Source organism: Homo sapiens, chromosome 6 (genome assembly GCF_000001405.40).
Source record: "Homo sapiens chromosome 6, GRCh38.p14 Primary Assembly".
NCBI lineage: Eukaryota > Metazoa > Chordata > Mammalia > Primates > Hominidae > Homo > Homo sapiens.
The window spans coordinates 160,952,902-160,974,588 of NC_000006.12; the positions used below are offsets into that span (position 1 = coordinate 160,952,902).

Below are 21,687 nucleotides of genomic sequence, written 5' to 3' on the forward strand. Positions count from 1 at the left end.
TAATAAATAAATCCATTCAAGAGTGGCATTTGCTGTTTTCTGTGTGGCTCCCCATTGTCTTATGACCCCAGTGGTTGAACAAGGTAAGAAGTGGGTCCAAAGAAGACGTCAGCATCCATCGTGTGCTCCATGAGTGCCTGCATTCTCCCCAAAGCCGCTCAGTGTGTGCTGCAAGCTCTCTTTTGTTGCCAGTGCCTGTCCATCCCTAAAAAGCCTCGCATTGATTCTGCTTCTAAATGGTTTCCCCTTTTTGCAAAGCATCATTTATACCCCCAGAGAAAAGAATGTGAGCTCAGAGGCGTCTTTGTCCAAAGAAACTTTGAAGGCAGATTCCTTGAGCTCTCAAGACATTCCACAGTCAGTAGTTCCTTTCCTCATGGGTGCATGTATTTAACTCTGGCAGGAACCTTTGACATGTTTTTTCCATAGTTCCTTTTATTGTGATTTCCTAGGTACATTTCAGTGTCAAAAATGTAAGTAGAAAAGAAAGTATGCAATATTCTTGCTAGGTTTCAAACAAACGAGAAACTCTTGTTTTACATTTTTTTGATAATTACTTTCTTAAGAAAACTATGGGTATACCTTGCTTGCATGGAAAATGTGTTATGAAATAATGTGTACAGATTACATTTCTGTGAATCAAATCCTTCTAGGTGAGACGGTTAAAGGAGTTTGTTTTGCTCTTTGTTTTAAAGTGAAAAGTGTATTTTATAGGGCAGTCTCTTAACTTGCCTGTGTGCTAATCCTATGCATTATTACATCAGAATAACTACTTCCTCTGACCCTGACCCTGACCCAAGTCATGGCTACTTCTTCACTTTGATGACCATTAGGGTCTCCTCACCAGCCCCTTAATTCCACCCTTGCTTTTAGTACAGCATCCTTAGTGATCCCTTTAAAACATAAATACATTTTAAAACTTAACTCCTCTATTCAGAACACTCCAACAGCCCTCCATTTTCTTCAGAGTGGAATCCAGAGTTCCTACAATTGCACTCACCTTTTTGACCCAGCAATCCCATTACTGGGTATATACCCAAAGGGTTATAAATCATTGTATTGTAAAGATATATGCACACGTATGTTTACTGCAGCACTCTTCACGATAGCAAAGACATGGAACCAACTCAAATGCCCATCAATGATAGACTGGATAAAGAAAATGTGGTACATATACACCATAGAATACTATGCAGCCCTAAAAAGGAATTGAGATCATGTCCTTTGCAGGAACATGGATGAAGCTGGAAACCATCATCCTCAGCACACTAACACAGGAACAGAAAACCAAACACCGAATGTTCTCACTCATAAGTGGGAGCTGAACAGTGAGAACACATGGATACAGGGAGGGGAACAACACACACTGGGGCCTGTCAGTGGGGGTCGAGAGGAGGGAGAGCACCAGGAGAAATAGCTAATGCATGCAGGGCTTGATACCTACGTGACAGGTTGATGGGTACAGCAAACCACCATGGCACATGTTTACCTATGTAACAAACCTGTACATTTTGCACATGTATCCCGGAACTTAAAGTAAAATAAAAATAAACACACAGGCACTGGCTGCTCCCTCCACCTGGAATTCCTTCCCTACATACCCACATGGCCATTCCCCTCATCTCTTTCAAGACTTCCCTCAACTTTCACCTTCCCAGGAGGCCTGCTGTGACCACTCTGTGTAAAACTGCAGTCCCCGCTCACCCCCTTCTCCTCCTCTTTCCCTTCTCTCTTTTTGGGGCTTACCTCCTTCTAATACACTACCACGTATTTGCTTACTTATGTTTAGTGTCCTCATCACTAGAATGTAAACTAAATGAAGACAGAATTGTTTCCTATTTGGGTGGCTGCTATGTCTGCAGTGCCTAGCCTGGTGCTAGTACAGAAAAGAAATCCAAACATTTATTAAATGAACAAGTGAATGAGTTCATTGGGTGTTTTTCATGTGTAATCTAAACAGAAGCAAATTTTAATTTTCTGTGTAGTTTTAAACTACAAGAAGGGTAAAGTCCATTAATGTGTGTATTTGGAAAAGTAGATTTTGTAAGCCAGGCACGGTGGCTCACACCTCTAATCCCAGCACTTTGGGAGGCTGAGGTGGGAGGTGGGCCTGAGCTCAGGAGTTCAAGACCAGCCTAGGCAACATGGCAAAATTAGCCGGGCATGACGGTGTGTGCCTGTGGGCCCAGCTACTCAGGAGGCCAAGGTGGGAGGATCACTCGAGCCTGGGAGGCGGAGGTTGCAGAGAGCCGTGATTGCACCACTGCACTCCAGCCTGGGTGACAAAGCAAGGACCGATCTCAAAATAAGTAACTAGAGAGAACATTCTTTCTTTCTTTTTCTTTATGCTGGTCCAAGAATTTCCTAAACCTGGGTAGGCATAAGAGATAGTAGCAAGAAAGCCCCGACTTAGGGCTTGGTCAGAGCATTTGACCACTCTCAGGTTTTGACTCGGTAAAATATGCGTAATGATAGCTGCTATTGTTGTGAGGATTAGAGATAATGTACATGAAGTGCCTGGCCCACCTCGATGACTACTCCCTAAATAAGCTTTATGACATTCTCTGGATCTGTCCTCAGCAGTCCCAACAACTTAAGACATCTAGAGAGCAAACAAACAAGCAACCAAACAAAAAACTCCTGTTTCCTACCCAGAGCTCTTTGCCCGCCACACCCTGAGGAGCTCTTTTAAAGACTGCGTAGTGAGGACATCAAAGCTATGCACCATCCTGCAGTTAGGGAGGAACAGTGAGTCAAGGACCAGATCCTCTCCCCTGGCCCAGGATAAAGCAACTGCTTCCTTCTGTAGACTTGGTGCGGCTTGCATTTTGCATCTGTGGGTTTTGATGTTTTCGAGTCTTTTCCTTGTATCATTGTCCCACAGTAGTCCTGTGACATAGATAAGGCAGCTACAGATACTCTCAGCAACAGGCTCCAAACGACTTGCCTGTGGCCACAGGGTGTCCTGGACTTCAAGTGAGTGCCCATTTCTGCAACAAATATTTGACTCCCTGTTTTCTGCCAGGCGCTGTTCTAGGCACTGAGAAGAAAGTAATGTCTCTGTTCTCATGGGACATACGTTTTAGGGGAGGGGAAAGGGACAAGAAGCAAATACAAGTAAATATGCAACAGGCCAGGTCCACAGAGTGACGGGCTGCAGAGGTGCTGGGGATTGGCATTTGACGGAGAGAAATCAAGTAAAGCCTTGCTGAGAAGATGACATTTGGGAGGAGACTGAAGAGTGTTGCAGTGCCGATGTGGCAAGGGCAAGGGCCCTGAGGCAGGACCACACCTGGATGCCTGAAGCACAACAGGGAGGCCAAAGAGGCTGGAGCTCGGTGGGTAGGTGGGAGAGAGTCGGGAGAGGTGCTCAGAGAGCACGCAGAGGATCAGGGCTTGCCTGCCTCTCTAGGCCATCATAAGGTTGGGTTTTTACTGTAAGTGAAATCAGACGGAAAGCACTAAGGGTTTTCAGAAGGGGAGTGACAAAATCTGACCTACCTGTTATCAGAATCATCTGGCTGAGGCCACCCAGACAGGAGGGAGCCAAAGGGAACCAGGCAGAGCAGCTTGCAACAGGTGCAGCCGGGAGGTGTTGGCAGCTGAGACCAGGCCTGTGGCCATGGGGTGTTGAGAAGTGGTTCAATTCTGGCTATATCTTGCAGGTAGAACTGGAAGATTTTGCTGAAAGATTGGACATGGCATTCAGAGAAACAGAGGTTTTAATGACAAACTCCAAGTTTTTGGCTGGAGCAACTGGAAGAATGAGGTTGCCATGAACCGAAAAGAGAGATTGCAGGTGGAGCAGGTTTTTGGCGTTTTGTTTGATTGTTTCTTCAAGGGGTGTAGGCGAAAGCAGGAATTAAGCTTGGGGCATGTGAAGTTTATTAGATATACAAGGGGAGATGCCTCACAGGCATGCTGGTAAGATGCTGGTAGGAGCCCAGGGCCTCATCTGATATCGGGATTCATCAGTGTTTAGAGTGTAGGGGTTGCTTAAACCCATGAAAGTAGAAGAAATCATCTTGAAAGTGGTGTAAATAAGGCAGCAGCCAGAGGTTGCAATGCGGTAGGACTCCAGCATTTGCTGGTTAGGGGAGGGAAGGAACCGGCACTGGAAGCTGACAAGGTGTGACCCATGGCAGGAAGAGAGCTGGGGAGGGATGGTGTCCGGGAGGCCAGGGAAGAAGGTAGGGGGTGGGGTGACCTCTGTCTGTCACATGGTGCTGATAAGTGAAGCACCTGAGGTCCAAGATGTAACCATCCTTCTAGCAATGTGGAGGTAGCTTTGGTGAGCGAACCACCCATTCTTTCTCTTCCCAATATAAAAAAACAAAAACAAAAACAAAAACACGAGATTAAAGTCTCAGGTTTTATTGGTAAAAATTAAAGCTTCAGACTTTAATATTATTTTTTATATTGGCAAGAGAAATAAATTGTTTTCTATATTGGAAAGAGAAATATTTTCAAGAATAAAAAATCCAAGGGGGAGCTTGGATTTTTATTTTTAGGCTATAACTTTAAAAAATTTTATTTATAGAAATGTATAGAAACAGAAAAATTGCTCATAATCCCATCCTCCAGAGGCATTTTTATGCATTTTTTCTTATATATTTGAGACCATGTTATGCATATATATTTTGGGCATGTGGAACCTTCTTTTATAAACATAATATATCCCTAGGTCATTGAAAGCACTATGCACACATTATTTTTAGTGACTGGCCTTCGTGTCCTACATCATGATATCCAATAATTTATTTGATTATTCCTCTTCCGCTGGATCTAGGTTCCCAAATGTTTACTCTTATATATAGTATTGATAATCACTTCCAAGCTCTCACTGGAAGTTAGTTGTTTTGGATAGCTAGCTAGAAGTGATGGAAATCAAAGGGAGTCAAGGGTGCAAACATTTAGAGCACCTGCTACATATCACTAAATTGCTTTTGAGAAAGTTTGTATGAATATACACACCTACCCAAAATGAAGGAGGGATGCCTTCTTACCACTCTCTGTTGGCTCTGCTATCATCAATTGTGTTGAAATGTTTATTTCTGATTATTAAAGCAATATTTTTATTGAAAATTTGAAAAATCAGAAGTGCATAGAGAATTTTAAAACACAATAGAAACAACAGTCTTTTAATACTTTTGGGTTTTTTTATTAATTAGAATCATACCTTATGTGTTTATACACACACTATATATATATATATATATATATATATATATATATATGCATATATATTTATTTCTTAATTTGGCATCACTTGGTGAAGCATTTTCCACGTCACTAAATATAATTCCCAAACATGGCTTTTAATGACCCTGTAGTCTTTCATTCCATTGGAGTGCTATTACTTATTTGCTATCCTCTTATTGTTGGGTGTTTGTATTAATTTTTAGTATCAAAAGTAATGCTTATATTCAAATCATTGTATGCATCATTTGATTCTTCCATATAAGCTCCTAGGCCTGGAGTTACATGGTCAAAAATGAAAATATATTAGAAATTTTCCCCCAGAAAGACTATACTAATTTTTGCTGCTACCCACATTGTGAAAAAGGAATGCTTGTCTACTGTGGCTCCCCCAACACTGTGTATCATCAGTCATTTTTCAATTTTTTTGATAGTAGAGTAGAGATAGTTTATCAATGATGTTTGCCTTTTTTCATGAGTTTATTATGGATTACAAAGATATGGCTTTTGTTTATGTCTTTTATCAATTTATCTGTTGGAGTCTTGTATTCTTCTTAGTTATCTGGCAAAGCCATTTACATCACAAGGGTATTGATGTTATGCCATATTTGGGGTAAATATTGCCCCCACTTATTTGCGTTGATTTCATAATGGCATTATATAATCTATAAAGTTTTAACATCTTATGTAGTCACATTTATCAATATTTTTCTTTTCTTTAAATTTTAGAAAATTCTTTGCCATCTGAAAGTAATGTACATCTACATGTTTATAAACTATAACTCAAGATTTCTTTTAACTGTTTTAAAAGTTATTTATTTCTATGTATAGCTAAAGGTAACACCCTAAACTGTCTTTTTTTCCCTAGAAGTAACCAAATTTACTCACGTAGGCCAGGAATTTCTATGACGTGTTCCAAATTCAGCCTCTCACTGAACACTTCCAGAGCAAGGCAACATAAACAGTAAGTGACCTATTTGAACAGTTCTAATAATGTGGGGTTTTGTTTGGGAATCAGTCAGCATATCACAGGCTATACTGCAGTCATCAACAGCTCCCATCTCTTCTACACCTTGTCTGGAAGTGAAACCCCTTATTTCTACCTGTAGCTCATGGGCCAGAGCTAGTCACATGGCGCTACCTAATTGCAGGGGCCTGGGGAAGGCAGAGAAGCCAATGGAATGGTTTGGGAGCATCACTCTTCTGCTTCCTGCCATTTGCTGTCTTGTTGGCCCCGAGAACACAGAGTAAGCCTTTTCCATACGTGTTTTCAAATATTCCAGAATAGCAATGATATTGCCTTTCCCCACATATACCTATTGCCATGCACACACAAACCCTGAGTCCTTGGTAGTATTCTGATTTTCAGGAATACAAACCCCTATTCTTTTGATTGTTCATTCTTTCTATGATGCAGTTTCTCATCTCCTTGCCATCCTGGCGACCCCTTTCTGGATGCTTTGTCATTTATTAATACCCAAAATGTCTTGTGATTAAAACAGAAATGTGTATTCTACTTATTTTTCCATTTCATTAGCTTTTGGTCTTATGTTCTTGAAGGCAGAGCTTTTATCTTCTTCTCCTTGATAGCCCCTTCCACTACACCTTCCTATCCAGCTAGCACAAGGCCTGACTAGTGGCTTCTCAGTTTGCCAAATGAATTGTACACCAGTAGTTTCCATTGACCGGGACTGTGATTCTAACCGACACGAGAACCCGTATCCTAGAGCCATTACCAAAAAGCAATTCATTCAGCTATTCTAACTGCTTTCTGTTATAATCTGCTCAAGTCATACCATTACACACCATTTCTGTGCTTCAACTTCTCAGTGCTCACTGCTGCTACATGTTTTCCCATTGGGTATTGGTGAATCACTGGAGTGTGAAAAAGTAGACAACCTAGAAAAACAATGTCGCCAAACTGACTGTGATTGTGAAAATCTTGAAGTCTCTGCTGATTTAGAATGAGGAAGAAGAAGGGACATTTTAAGACCTCTTCTCCAACTCCTTGTACTATTTTTAGATAGGAAAATTTGCCTTGATCAGTCTTGTATTCCTTGAACAAAAAGCCTTCCTTCTTTGCCACCCTCCCCAGCAGGGAGCTTCATTGTTCCTACAGAGGCAGATGGTGACGGTGGGGCCAGAGGAGTCTGTAAGGGCCAGACTTTTTCGCAGATGTTTCTGCCAGGAAAATTTGCCCTGGTGACATTTGAGAGTGTTTACAGGGCAGCATAAAGTTGGCTTCTGTATTACCCAATTATCTGTGCCTTATGTATGTTCCAAACCTATTTAAAATGCTAAGCAGAAATACTTGCATCTTAAACCCATGATAAATGCAGTGCTAAAAATCTGTGTGACAGCTGGTCATTACATGTATATTAAATCCTTGTTGGGACCCAGAGACACTGTTTGTTCTAAGAGTTAGCCTAGATTCAAGCTTTTATTAGGACACCTAAGTATACTGAAGCTTAAGCTTAAATTTCCCGTTTAACCAACCTAATAGTTTCCAAATACACATTCATCTACTCATTATCTTCTAACTTCCTTCATTATCATGACTGAATGCTAGGAGTCTATTTTTCAAAAGAGCGAGACTATCATTATGCCTCCCTTGAAACCAGTGAAGTTCAGCTCATGTCAAACTGCCATTCATTAAACGCACACTAAATGCATCTTTAAAACCCAGTAGTTCTATGCACTACCCTAAAGGTATTTTCTAACATTATTTCCAAAACACTTTTTTGTTCCAAGTAATGTGAGTAGGCCTAGCAATTAACTAATTTCCAGCCAAGCCTGAAATATCAAAGGTTAGTCCTCAGAGATGGTAGTGTGCGAAAGAATGGGAGCTCTTGTTTGAAAATTCAGCTGTGTTGATTTTACAAGTCAGGACTGGAAAACAGCCAAAAGACTTTATTAACCTTCTTTTCAATCTTTCCTAAGAATTCTCTCACATCTAGGATGCCAATTACACTCCACAAAGTCACGCTTATTTTGTGGTGCCCTGGGGGTGCCTGCCTGCTGTTATCAGTAGAGTTAACTGCAGTGGGTAGAGGTTTGGGACTGAAAGAATCCATTTTAACTCAAGGATAGGGCATCTGTTTCCCCTGGCATCTCAATCAAGTTGGGGGCTCGTAGGATGCCCCAAAGAAGAGGAAGGACGTTCCAACACACGTTCATTCTTTGAGGCTTGGCTGGTGGCTTGATGCTTACTATAGCCTGGCTCTGTTGACTATCCTGACCGTCCTTTTAGTTCCTATTACTCTTGACTCAGAGGTTGGAATCTTTATTGCTCTCTCAACTGTACTTTTGCTTCTCCAGTCCTCACCTCTGGCCCTTTCTATCCTCAGGCCCTAAGACTCTCTCCCTTGGTCTGCCCCAGCTCTGAGGATGGGGTCTGCAGAGCTGCACTCCCCAGGTTTAAAAATGCCTGCTCTCATCACTCAGGAACATTGCAGAGAAAATCCAGATACCCTATGTTTATGGTATGATGTGTCTCATTTTGCATATACTTCAAGAAGAGGAACATGAACAGTTGAAAGTGCAAAAACTGAAATTTGTTCAGAAATAGATGTTAGTAAACTTTTACATATAAATTCAAAATATATAAAAATGGTGAAGTATTTTGTATGGACAGTGACCCCTGCACAGAAACTTTTTTGTAGCAAAGCAATAAGCCCAGATTTCAAATAGAAGAAGCTGGGATGATACACAGACTATAAACCTATCAGTCTTTAAAAAGTAACCTATTCCCCCTTCCCCATCAAAAAACATAGTCATGTACATTCATTTCTCTCTAGTAGTATTCATTCTGGTAAAGACTGTGTTCATGTTGCCATAATTAAAACTCTACAAATTGAGAAACTTTCATAAAAGCCAACTATCAACATGTCTGAAACGTGTAAAATGTTGATATAATTTAAACCCCTCTTCAGTAGTTGCTAAATACATGTTTCCCCTCCCTTAACATCAAATACACCATTGTATAGCTATGTTTGGAGTTTAGGATTACAAGGCCTGATAGATTCAAAATACCACAGAAAAACAGCCTACTCTGGTCTGTTCTAAATTCATCAATTATTTTAAAAATAACTATCAACTACATAACTGGAATGCTTTTAAAAAAAACTGTATTTATAAAAAAAAGAAATTGTATCAGATTGACTGGTTATTTGGGATACAATACTCTCCACATGGTAGACGATAATAAAAAATGGTCCTAAAGCTCACCTGCTCACGAATTCTGAATAATTTAGGTAGATACTCCCTGCCTCAAGGAAGTGAGACATAACTCTCCACTCTGCAAATGCAGGCTGCTCATTGTATAGTAATTTCCTTCCAAAGTGTACCAAAGAGAGAAAAGAGTAACTTTACAGTGAGAAACCTACAAACACTGTCAGGCAGGTGGTCAAGGTGAATGCCAACAGTGATACGTGCCCTTGGTAGGATGTGATGAGAAGGGCACTTCACCTCTGTGGTCTTCCTTCCAAAAACCCATAACCTTAGTCTAACCATGAGAAAAACATCAGAAAAACCCCAGTTGATGTCCTTTCTACAAAACGCTTGACCACTACTCCTTAAAACTGTCATCAAAAAACAAGGAAACCCTGACAAACTGTTAGAGTCAAGAGGTACCTAGGACTACATGATAATGAAACATAATATGGTATCTGTGAGAGGACCCCTGTGCACTTTAGTTTAATGTACCAGTGTTGGCTCATTAATTGTGACAGATGTACCATATAATCGAGATGTTATTAACCGGGTAAACTGTGTGTGGAGGTTACAGGAACTCTCTGCACTGTGAGTTCACAGCAGTTCTAGAAATCTAGAACTATTAATAAATAGTCCTAACAAACCATCCAAATGGGCCAAATATGACTTTCTCTACAACCAAGTGTGCCTTTTAACAACTGGCTTCCAGACCACCACAGCTGCTGCCTCTGACTCACACCCAGCCACCTGTCTCTAGACCTAATGTGGGACAAAACGTTCCCCACAACACCTTTCGAATTGTTCCACATATCTGAAGCCAGGTTAGAAATTTCCAGGAGTCATCTGAATGTGCATCTACCCTAGAACAGAGTCCCGTGCGGAGGTGTTAGGACATATTTGCCATCCATTGCCTGCCTAGACATTCCTTCCTACCGTCTGAGTCTCACTGTGGTTTCCTGCTACAGAAGTTGAAAATCCCAGCCCCCAGCCCAGGGCTGTGTCCTCCGCTCCACTGTCAGATACACCTGTGCCAAGTGTAGAATAAGGAGACAGGAGGGAGGCACCTGCCCAGCGGCAGCGCTGCGATGAGGCTAGTGGCAGTGTGGGCTAGCAGGATGGGCCTGTAACGGGGCACCAGCGTCCTCCCTGGACCAATTCTGCAGCAGCCTGTGGGCATTTGTTCCTATCCATGAAGTTCCGAACCTGGTTTTCTGGCCCTCCTGGCCAGGCTGAAGCCATGCAGTATTCTTTATATCAAATTGTTTATTTTAATATGCATATGAAAGGCTGCACGAATTGTACAAACATAGCCTAATTTTCACCAAGCAAACAGATCCTTATTAGGACTCATAGCGAGAAACAAGACCCTAGAAACCCCCTTCACACCCTGTATCAGTGCACACTGATCCCAAAAGGTAATCACTCTTGTGACGTCTCAGAAGATGGCTGTCTCATAATCTAGTTTTGCCTGTTTTGAGATGGAATAGTACAGTATGTACTCTCCAGTGTTGGGCTTTTTTGTCTCGGTATTTTGTGGTGAGAAGTTTCCTTCTGGTGGTTCGCGTTATTGTAGCTGGTTCATTCTCATTGAGGTGCTGTTTTCCATTAGAGGAATATACATACCGCAATTCATTTATCCATTCTACCATTGATAAATGTTTGGCTCGGGTCCAGGTGTGACTCCTATGAACAGTGCCGCTGTGAACATTCTTGTATGTGTCTTTTGGTGCCAGTATTTTAAAAGATAAATTCCCTTTTTACTTAAACATGCCAGAATTCGCTTTTGTTGCTTTTAACTAAGAACTCTTACGCTTGAAGTTGCTATAGCTGTAAAATCTCCAGAGGCTCTGGTCATTTCAAAGCTGAAAGCCAAAGACATTTGGAACAGCAAACGTAGAATTACACGATGATAGCTATATGTGATGATTCATGGCATGATGCCAGTTCTAAAGTGTTATATATTCTTATGCTTAAGCTTTGATATTTATTTTAAAGATCATTTTGTATCTGCTTTTGCTTTTTTAATCTTGCAAAGCTATTTAGCCAAAAACAATGCTTCAATCTGACAATGCCAGTTTTTAATGGGATAAAAAAAAAGATGAATAGTATTTCTTCATCCATCTCTACCCAAGAAACAGTATACGTTCTTGTTATAGTGTGCATAAGAAGATCAACACTGGGCATTTTGCTACATTTTAGATTCATTTTGTTCAGAGATCTTTAAGGATTAGTAGGTCTGAGTTTTTAAAATATTTTATTTCTTGCAGTGCTTAACACAGCGTCTTATTAATATGGTTAATTAAACTGATATTTGCATTATAATGACGTAAGCTTGTGAGAGCACTTTTGAATCAAAGTGCAATTAAGTCAATACTATTATTTTCTTAGGCTCAGCTTGAAAGACATTTAAAGAGGAGTTACAATAGCAGACTGGTTCAGTCACTTATTAGATTGACTGTTGTTTGTACTGAGTCCTTCTCGTGGGGTAGACTAAAATGAATTATTTTAAGGGCTTAATCCTTTTCCAAGTAATAAGTATTCACATTGTTATAGTCCAGTGATTTATTATTAATGATTTTATAGTGCTTTCAAGTCACCTCTGAATTATTTCTCCTTCATGTTACTATGGGCAAGGCCCATTCATAACCAGGGTTCTGCAAGGGAATAGGGGAATACTCGTAGTTTATAATTTTTAGCAGGTAGATTCGAATGCTGTTAATAGCCCTCTATCTTGTATGTTTTATAGTGGAAATAACTTTGGGGTTAAGTATGCATGGGTTCAAATGTTGGCTCCACCATTTATTGGGTCTGTGACTTTGAGTCACGTGGTGACATAGGTAGTGTCCCTAAGCCTCCATTCTATAAATGAAAATGGGGTCATGGCACTTATTTTGCAGCATATTTGGGAAGCTTAGGTGAAATAATGCATGTAAAATGCCTACACCGTACTTACTATCAAGTACCTACATGTAAATTTCCTTCCATCTGCATTTCATTTTTAAAAATTCTTCTCTACTTTAGACATGATGCCTAATTCCTAGATGTTTCTTAGTCGATTAGCATACCATGTGATTTCACTTCTGTCTGCACTGGGCAAAGCAAGCCTTTGAACATCATCCACACAACACTTCTAAGGGAACTACCCACTCAGGATCCCTACTGGCTGGGCAGACAGGTGTGGTGCTCCATCATCTCCATCTTCCCCCAACCCCCCAAGCCATAACCAGCTGGACAGGCATCTGGCCTGAGATAAACAAATCCATAGGCTGGCCAGGGATATATCGTGTTGGAAGTCAAGCTGGGCCAAAACCGTAACCTCTGTTAGGAGAGCGCGCTGGCAAATGCTGGGCAGCAGCTGAAAGGATGTCTGTCGGGAATGAGAGTTTGGGCCATGCGCTGTGAGACCATAAGGCTGTGATGAGGTGGAGGAAGCTCACCAGGAGAGACAAGGGAAGGCAGGGATGGCAAGGAGGGGCCGAGCCTTCATGAGGCCAAGCATCAGCCCCTGACCTGCCTTCTGTCAGGTTCCACTTCCATTCCTCTTGTGTCCTTATGAAAAGCCCTGTTTTTCCTGAGTTGGTTCGAGGATGCTTCTGTTCCTCAAAGCCAAAATAGTCGGGACAGAAAACTGCCTTAAATACACATACTAGAATCACAGAATCCTCCAGGAAAACTGTGATTCACTCACATCAAAGTTTCATGGGAAGGAACACCTTCAAAACTATTAGTTTTGGAAGGATAATTAAGGACACTACAGCATGAAAAATGAGATGTCGTTGACTGGTTGATTGATTGATTGAGACAGGATCTTGCTCTGTGGCTCAGGCTAAAGTGCAGTGGCATGATCATGATTCACTGCAGCCTCGACCTGCTGGGCTCAAGTGATTCTCTCGTTTTGGCCTCCCCAGTAGCTGAGACTACAGGTGCAGACCACCATGCCCAGTTTGTTTTTTTTTTAATTATTTTCAGACCACCATGCCCAGCTTTCTTTTTCTTTCTTTCTTTTCTTTTCTTTTTTTTTTTTTTTTTTAATAATTTTTAGGGATAAGAGCTTGCTATGTTGCTCAGGCTGGTCTTGAACTCTTGGGCTCAAGCAATCCTCCTGCCTCAGCATCCCAAATGTTATGATTACAGTCATGAGCCACCGTGACCAGCCGAGCAGTCATTTAAAGGTTAGGCTTAAAACTATTATAGGATTAGATCTGATCTTGAAATGGAAAATAAGGAGTTGGCTTGCCAAAAACACCCCACTGATTCCTGTTCAATGACTTTTAGTGAATCTAAAAATTTCTGTACTTTCCTTCCTGTTTCTCCTTGTGATCATAGGAAGCTCTCTTCCTACGACCACATTCAAATTCTGGGCTAAAAGATGCTGTATCAGCGGAAGCATGATTTTACATGGCAATGATTCTAATATGTTGCTGTCAAAGTCTGTGTCAAGTCCAGATGTTTGAGAGGAAGCTAAAATGACAGCACCAAATAAGAGTATCTTTTGCTCGTGTGTTTGCTAACAGCACGAATGTGTCAAACTTGAGGAAATGTATCTATAAGGTCCTGCACGATGTTAAAGGAAGCACCTATATATTCTTATCCCAGGAACTCTGTAAGCCACCAGAATACTTTAACTGATGGCAATGAGTCTCAGTTTGTGCTGAGACAGACATCGTGGCACTGTCTCCTCTCACGGCACTGTGCCTTTTGTACAGCTCTTGGGAACACACATAGACACTAGAGAGGGCATACAGGAATCTTAGGCTGAGCAGGGCTGAAATCAGGGTATGTTGACATTTCCCATAGGTGCACTCAGAGTTCTAAGTGCTTTGAACTGTTTTTTTCTGATTTATTTTACTCATTTAGTCTTACCTAGATATGTTTATTTGTGATTATATGCTTAGCACCTGCTTTGCAAAATCCAGTAAAGAATTCCCAATTAATATCTGTGGCATTTTTTCTTCTCTTTCATTCGAGCTCCTGAATCTTTTTCCATCTTTTCCATCTGTGTATCCCCAGCAGTGGGAGCAGTGGCTGGCTCATAAGAGGAACTCAAAATCTGTACTTATTAAATGAATAACTTTGCAGTGTTTTGACCTCCAAAAGGAACTCAGTCCTTTGAGGTTGATTCTACATAAATGAAGCAGAGAGGATAGAGAAGGTATTGGACTTTACATGTTGACTCTGATATTTATTAGCCGTATCTTAACTAAGGAAGCTAACCTCTTGGCCTCGATCCCATCCTATAAAATGGGGATAATATCTAACTGCCTCACAGGTTTCCAACAAGGACTAAACGATGGAGTGTATGTGATGCTCCTGGCACAGAGTGGTGTTCATGATCATGGCTGTAAGTCTTCTAAGAGTTAAGTGGTTGAGAACGAGGACTTTAGAATAAGACCATGGCCCTAGTCTGCCATTGTCTTGCTGTGTGATACATGTAAATCACATGGCACTGAGCCTGGCACATAGTGAATGATGGGTAAATTAGTACCATTATTATTAACAAAAGTCAATTATCATTATGGATATTATTAAGTTACTTCTCTAAAACAACATATAACAATATTCAAATCCATTTAGAAGGAAGAGAAATAAAATTTTAGAAGAACTCAGGATGAGAAAATTCTGTAACACAGCACCAAATTTAGCTTTGGGTTTCTGGGCAACCATGGCAATAGAAAGAAACACAACAGGTTACATCATGATTATCAGTTATAATTAGTTCACTAGAGCTGTACCTCCCAGTACAGGAACTGGTGGCCACTGTTGGCTGTTGAGCATTTGAAACGTGGCTCATAGGAATGATGACATGCTGTAAAAGTAAAATACCCTGAATCTTGAAGATCTACTATGAAAAAATAAAGTATCTCATTAATAAACTTTTATATTGGTTGCACATGGAAATTGTGGTATCTTGGTTATTTGGATTAAATAAAATGTATTATTAAAATTACTTTCACTTATTTCTTCTGACTTTTAGTATGGCTATAGAAAATAAAAAATTTCATGTGTGGCTTCCATTTGTGGCTCACATTATATCTCAGTCAACATTAAACTGTCTTTTTAATCTCAGTATTCTAAGTAGAATTTATATTATTTATATTTTTATATTAATATAAAATATCATAATTATAAAATCATTATATAATTATATATTATAAACATTATAAATATATAATAAAATGTATAATGCATGGTAGAAATATATTAATATATAACAAATATCTATAATGATTAATAAAATATATTTATAAAATAGAATGTTATATGTTAGTTTATTATTATATACTTTCTATTATTTATAAAAGGCTTTGGATGTTCAAATGGGTAATATCTTCACCTACAATTTTAAAGAAAATTTGATAACTATCTTGGCAGGGAGAGAAGTATTAATACTAATAATCACAATAGCTACCATTTATTGAATGCTTCCATATGTGCCAGACACAGTCCTAGTTTCTTTACATATACCAGTCATTTAAAAACTCATAAGTGGTGCAATGAGCTGGATGTTTACGTTTTCCCCCAAATTCATATGTTAAAACCTTATCACTATCACTAGGTGATGGTATGAGGAGGTGGAACTTTTGGAAGGTGATTGGCTGAATGGCATTGGTGCCCTTATAATGGAGGCCCAGACTGGGCGCGGTGGCTCACACCTGTAATCCCAGAACTTTGGGAGGCCGAGGTGAGTGCATCACCTGAGGTCAGAAGTTCGAGACCAGCCTGGCCAAAATGATGATACCCTGTCTCTACTAAAAATACAAAAAAATTAGCTGGGCATGGTGGCACATGCCTGTAGTCCTAGCTACTTGGGAGGCTGAGGCAGGAGACTCACTTGAACCCAGGAAGTGGAGGTTGCAGTGAGCTGAGATCACGCCACTGAACTTCTGCCTGGGTGACAGAGCAAGACTCTATCTCAAAAAAAAACAGGCTCAGAGAGTTGCCTTACCCCTTCTACCAGGTGAGGACACAGCAAGAAGGCACTGCTTATGAACTGGGAAGCAGCCCACACCAGAAACCAAATATGCCAGTGCCTTGGTCTTGAACTTCCCAGCCTCCAGAACTGTGAGAATGACATTTCTGTTGTTTATAAGCCACCAATTTATGGTATTTTGTGATAGCAGCCTAAACAGACTAAGACAAGTGGTATGATTATTCTTACATTAAACCAAAACCCTTCATAACTGGCATAAGATACAAAAATATCTTCTTCTACCTCTTTGGTATCATTCACAGCATTGACAAAGATGCAGTAAGTGGGTGTTCCATCTACTGCTCAATAAGTGGGTGTTGGTCAGTAGAATACCTCCTCTTTCCCTATGTCCCTCAGCTCAGTAATAGCAAGATATTTAAAGATCTATGAAATTAGGGAATACATTGTCACCTGGAATTTTGTTGTGATTTGCAGTCTGCAAGAAGAACATTGTGTGAGAAATATCAAGTGAGAGTGGAAGAGTCTGCGGAGGGCCTCCCTGGGGCTCACCTGTGCTTTTGCCTGAGCTTCACCGTGTCAAGGTAAACTGAGTCAGAAAACCATGTGGGCAAAAAGCATCTCCAGTTTTTTTTTAAAGCTCAAGTACTGTGAAGAAATATGTTACAGCTTGTTTTGAAGGAGTCCATAAAAAAAGTCTCAAAGAGGCTGGGCGTGGTGGCTCACGCCTGTAATCCCAGAACTTTGGGAGGCCGAGGCGGGTGGATCACGAGGTCAGGAGATCGAGACCATCCTGGCTAATGCGGTGAAACCCCATCTCTACTAAAAATACAAAAAATTAGCCGGGTGTGGTGGCGGTCGCCTGTAGTCCCAGCTAGTTGGGAGGCTGAGGCAGGAGAATGGTGTGAACCCGGGAGGTGGAGCTTGCAGTGAGCCAAGATCGTGCCACTGCATTCCAGCCTGGGCGACAGAGCCAGACTCTGTCCCCCCCAAAAAAAAAAAAAAGAAAAAAAGAAAAGAAAAGTCTCAAAGAATAGTTTTCCTAAGAGTTAAAGGTGTAAAAGACAGCAAATGAATCTGGTCTGCTTGTCCCCAGCCCTATATACTCAACTGAGACCAACAGAAAGAAACCATGCAATTTAGGAAGATACATTTTAAAGTTTAACTGCAAGCCAAAAATATAAAAATGAGTCCTGCTCTAATTGTGAATTGCAAGTAGAGCCAAGAAAACCTGTATCTAGTTTAGAAGTCAAGACCTCTGGAGATGGGGAAAGCTTAGAAGTCACTTGTATTAGCCTGTTCTCACACTGCTAGTAAAGACATACCCAAGACTGGGTAATTTATAAAGGAAAGAGGTTTAATAGACTCACAGTTCCATATGACTGGGGAAGCTTCACAATCATGGCAGAAGGCAAAGGAAAAGCAAAGGCACGTATTAAATGGCAGCAGGCAAGAGAGCTTGTGCAGGGGAACTCTCATTTATAAAACCATCAGCTCTCGTGAGACTTATTCGTTACCACAAGAACAACATGGGGGAAAGTGCCCCCATGATTCAATTATCTCCACCTGGCTCTGCCCTTAACACATGGGGATTATTACAATTCCAGGTGAGATTTGGGTGGCGACACAGCCAAACCATATCGCCATTCAAAAGAGAGTTGCAGAGGTGGGTGTAGCTTTGGAAAATAGGTCTAATGAGCAAAGAATATGGTAGTTTATGTTATTTTTCTGAGGAAAAGCGAGGAAGTTAGTCGTGATTTAAAATACATGGACATTATTGTACTAGTGTACAGCAGGATTCCATCTGTACTAATGCTGGACAGAATGAATGGTCTTAATTGATCTTAAATGTGGATTTAGGTTTAAAGCTAAAAGAATTTCAAGTCTGAATTGTAAACCACTGGTCTGGGCTAGCAGTGGAAGGTGAATATCTTTCTTCCTGGAAGTCATTCCATCCACTAAGCTCTTAGCTACCTGTGACAGTTTGAAGGTGTTCCATTAGATGAAACTGAGTCCTTGGCCATGCTCATTGGAAGGCAGCACACTACACATAGCGGTCCTCTCTAAAAACAGTGACCTTGACCTGCACAAACCATTTTGACAACAGCTGTCCTAAATTTAGGGTGCTTCATCTGTGTCTTATTAGTTCTCAAAACACACAGGGAGGTAGGAGGGATGCAGTTACTCATTCTTTTACAGGACTGAGTTTGAGAAAATGAAATATAGAGCTTCAGGAATTGGCCCTCATTTGCATAAGTGGATCCAGGGTCACAAAGAAAATGCTTTCTGTAAAATATAAAGCTGTTCCTTAAGGCTGTGAGACAATTTGCAGGAAAAACTTTTGAATGTTACGCTTTCTGAATTGCAGCAAATACATTTTAATTCAAAACTCCTTGCACGTGACCAGTATAAAATACCCATGACTGAGGCAATGTTTCACATTTCCACAGGGTCATTCTTCAGTAGTTGATGAAGGCACAAAAATGCACTATGTTGGATCATTAGATCTGTGGAGCCCACAGAGCCCTCCACACCTTGCCACAAATCAGAATACAAATTTGTCTGATCAGCTAGGCATGGCTCATGCCTGGAATCCCAGCACTTTGGAAGGCTGAGGCAGGAGGATTGCTTGAGTCCAGGAGTTCAAGACCAGCCTGGGCAACGTAGTGGTACCTCCTCTCTACAAAAAATAAACATTAGCCAGGAATGGTGGTGCGTGCCTATAGTCCCAGCTACTCGAGAGGCTGAAGTGAGAGGCTCTCTTAAGCATGGGAGATCGAGGCTGCAGTGAGCCGTGATCACACCACTACACTCCAGCCTAGGCAACAGAGCAAGACCCTGTCTCAAAAAACAACAACAACAAATTCTTCTGATCACATTGGCAAGATTCTGCAGCTTAAAAGTTGCATGGTTTATTCATTTCAATGAACTACAATTTTTGTTCCAATACAAACATCTCAGTAAAGCCACTGATGATCAGAACCTAAAACTACAGCTAACTGAAACCTGACTCCAATGTTGGTGGTTTTTAACAGCTGTGTATGTGGAAGCTGTGTAGCAAGTAGAAACTCATTTGCAGCAGACACAAAGGGCTGCTACTGCCATGGCCATGACTCATCTCGATTCATAAATGTAGACGTGGCTCTTAGGCACTTTAGATTGAGATACAAGTTGATTTTTTAAAAATATTTATGTCGAGCTAAGGTAAAAACATTTTTAGCATCAGAGCATAAAACAAATAACAATTTAAGATAAGCATGAGGGGCCAGGCGCGGTGGCTCATGCCTGTAATCCCAGCACTTTGGAAGGCCGAGGTGGGCAGATTACGATGCCGGGAGTTCGAGACCAGCCTGACCAACATGGTGAAACCCTGTCTCTACTACAAATGCAAAAATTAGCCAGGCATGGTGACATGCGCCTGTAATCCCAGCTACTCAGGAGGCTGAGGCAGGAGAATCGCTTGAACCTGAGAGGCAGAGGTTGCAGTGAGCCGAGATTGCGCCATTGCACTCCAGCCTGGGTGACAGAGCGAGACTCCATTGCGCGCACGCGCACGCACACGCGCACACACACACACACACACACAAAAGATAAGCATGACGGATCTCTGGCTTTATCATGATTATCTTTATTGAAAGGGTCCAAGGAGAATAACAAAGATTTCAAAAAGTTCGCTGTGTCTCTTCCAGCATCGCACCACTGGACAGTCTGGGGGCACCCGTGATTGTCATTGAGGTGCTTTTTGTTTATTTGTGGGTTCAGAAATTAGCTCATAATCCATGCTGGGCTGGTTAGGATTGGCCTCAGTGTGATGATGGTTAACCCACTGACCATTACATTCAGAGCCTCCTGCTTGTCAAGGCCACAGCCATTGCCATTGACTCCTTCAAGTTCCTTCTGCTCTCCCGGTTGCCCCTGCTCCTCTCCAGGCTGCCATGGGTGTAAATAGTTGCTCATAAGTCTTGTGGGCTGAGTCCTGGGCTTTATTATTTGACTATTTAGTGAGCCTTTTCCAGGTGCTAGTTGTTGAAGAGAATATAAAAGAAATGGGAAACCTTTGCTCCCCCAGGGAATGCAGTCCAGCCAGGGAACAAATGTAGCACACACAAGGCAATCAAGTCTCAGGAGAAGGCTGTGCGGGAGGAAGTGGCCATGTGGGCCAGGAAAGCCAGGGCGGGGGAAGAAAGGGGCCGCCTGGGAGGCTGAGGACCTCATCAGGAAGGAGATGGGGCAGCAGCTGGATCCAGAGGATGGGGGTGGTTTGGCTGGGCAGAGAGCAGAGCGGACACTTACTGTTTGTAGCTGTTACTGAAATGTCATGCGTGCTTGTCTTATCTCCCAGCTGGATTGCACACTCCTTGGGGTAGTGACCTTTCCCTTGGTAATCCGCACAGAGCCATGCATACAGTAGGAGAATAATACACCTCTGCGAAATGAGGTCGTTCTGAAAGTGTTCAGAAATAAAGTCAGGAAGTTAATTCGCAGTTATTGAAACTGCTAATATTGGTAATGAGACATCTTTTGAAAATCACTGTTATTCTCTTCTGAACATCTCAATGCATATATTCATGATAAAGCTTGACTGGTTATCTTAAATTGTTAATTGTTTCATGCTGTGATGTTGACAAGGTTTTTTCTTAAACCCAACATGAGGAATGTTTAAAAAACAAACTTTTATCTCAGCCTAAAGTGCATAAGAGCCACTTCTACAAAGCAGGGAGTGTGATTTGCAAAACATGGCCTAGAGGAACTGGCATTTTGTTTTGTTTTGTTATGTTTTGTTTAATAATTAGGAGATGAGATCATTGAACTTGGAAGCCTGATAGCAATGGGAAGCCGACTCTGGACTGCAGATGTAGAAGATCCACTGGGTGGGATTTGTCCATGTGCATAGTGTGCAGTGAGGCTGCAGTGTAGGTAGTGACGGGGCTCCCTGTCCCCACCTGCTCCCCTGGACCCAGGAACTAGAGGTGAAACTAAGAAAGGAAATTATGGCAAAGAGAAAGACTGCATGTGGAAGGCAAGGAGTATCTTCACACAAATGCGTTTTCCCTATTTTTTTTTTGTCTTCCAAAGAAAAAATGAGAGCAAACCCAGTTCCCAGATAAAAGAATCAGAATACCCTCCCACACACCTGCCCTCATGTGACTGAGGCACTTGGCCAGTTCATAAACAAGCCATGGTGATGACCTATAACAGACGCGTCCTGACCTGGCAGACCGCAGGGGACGTGAAGAAGCTTGGCCTGAAATATTCTGACGTGTCCCAGCCTCACACTCACATAGTTCCTGGGCACCCAGAAAGATGGGGCCTAGGAATACTCTTATTGAGAATCTGGCATGAATGAA

The 21,687-nt window shown here is 41.4% G+C and overlaps 1 long non-coding RNA gene across 13 annotated transcripts in view; it reads left to right on the forward strand.

The window, feature by feature from the left end:
• The window catches only part of LOC102724087 (uncharacterized), a 55,176-nt gene that overhangs the window by 26,864 nt on the left and 6,625 nt on the right, over nucleotides 1–21,687 (forward strand). For 8 of the 13 annotated variants that reach the window (NR_187755.1, NR_187756.1, NR_187757.1 and 5 more), the window contains 2 exons: nucleotides 6,068–6,163; nucleotides 16,817–16,923. This is a non-coding gene — a long non-coding RNA (uncharacterized LOC102724087). Of the gene's footprint in view, nucleotides 1–3,665; nucleotides 3,800–6,067; nucleotides 6,164–16,816; nucleotides 16,924–21,687 lie in introns of all 13 variants that reach the window. The other 5 variants (NR_187764.1, NR_187761.1, NR_187765.1 and 2 more) reach the window with 2 other exon arrangements.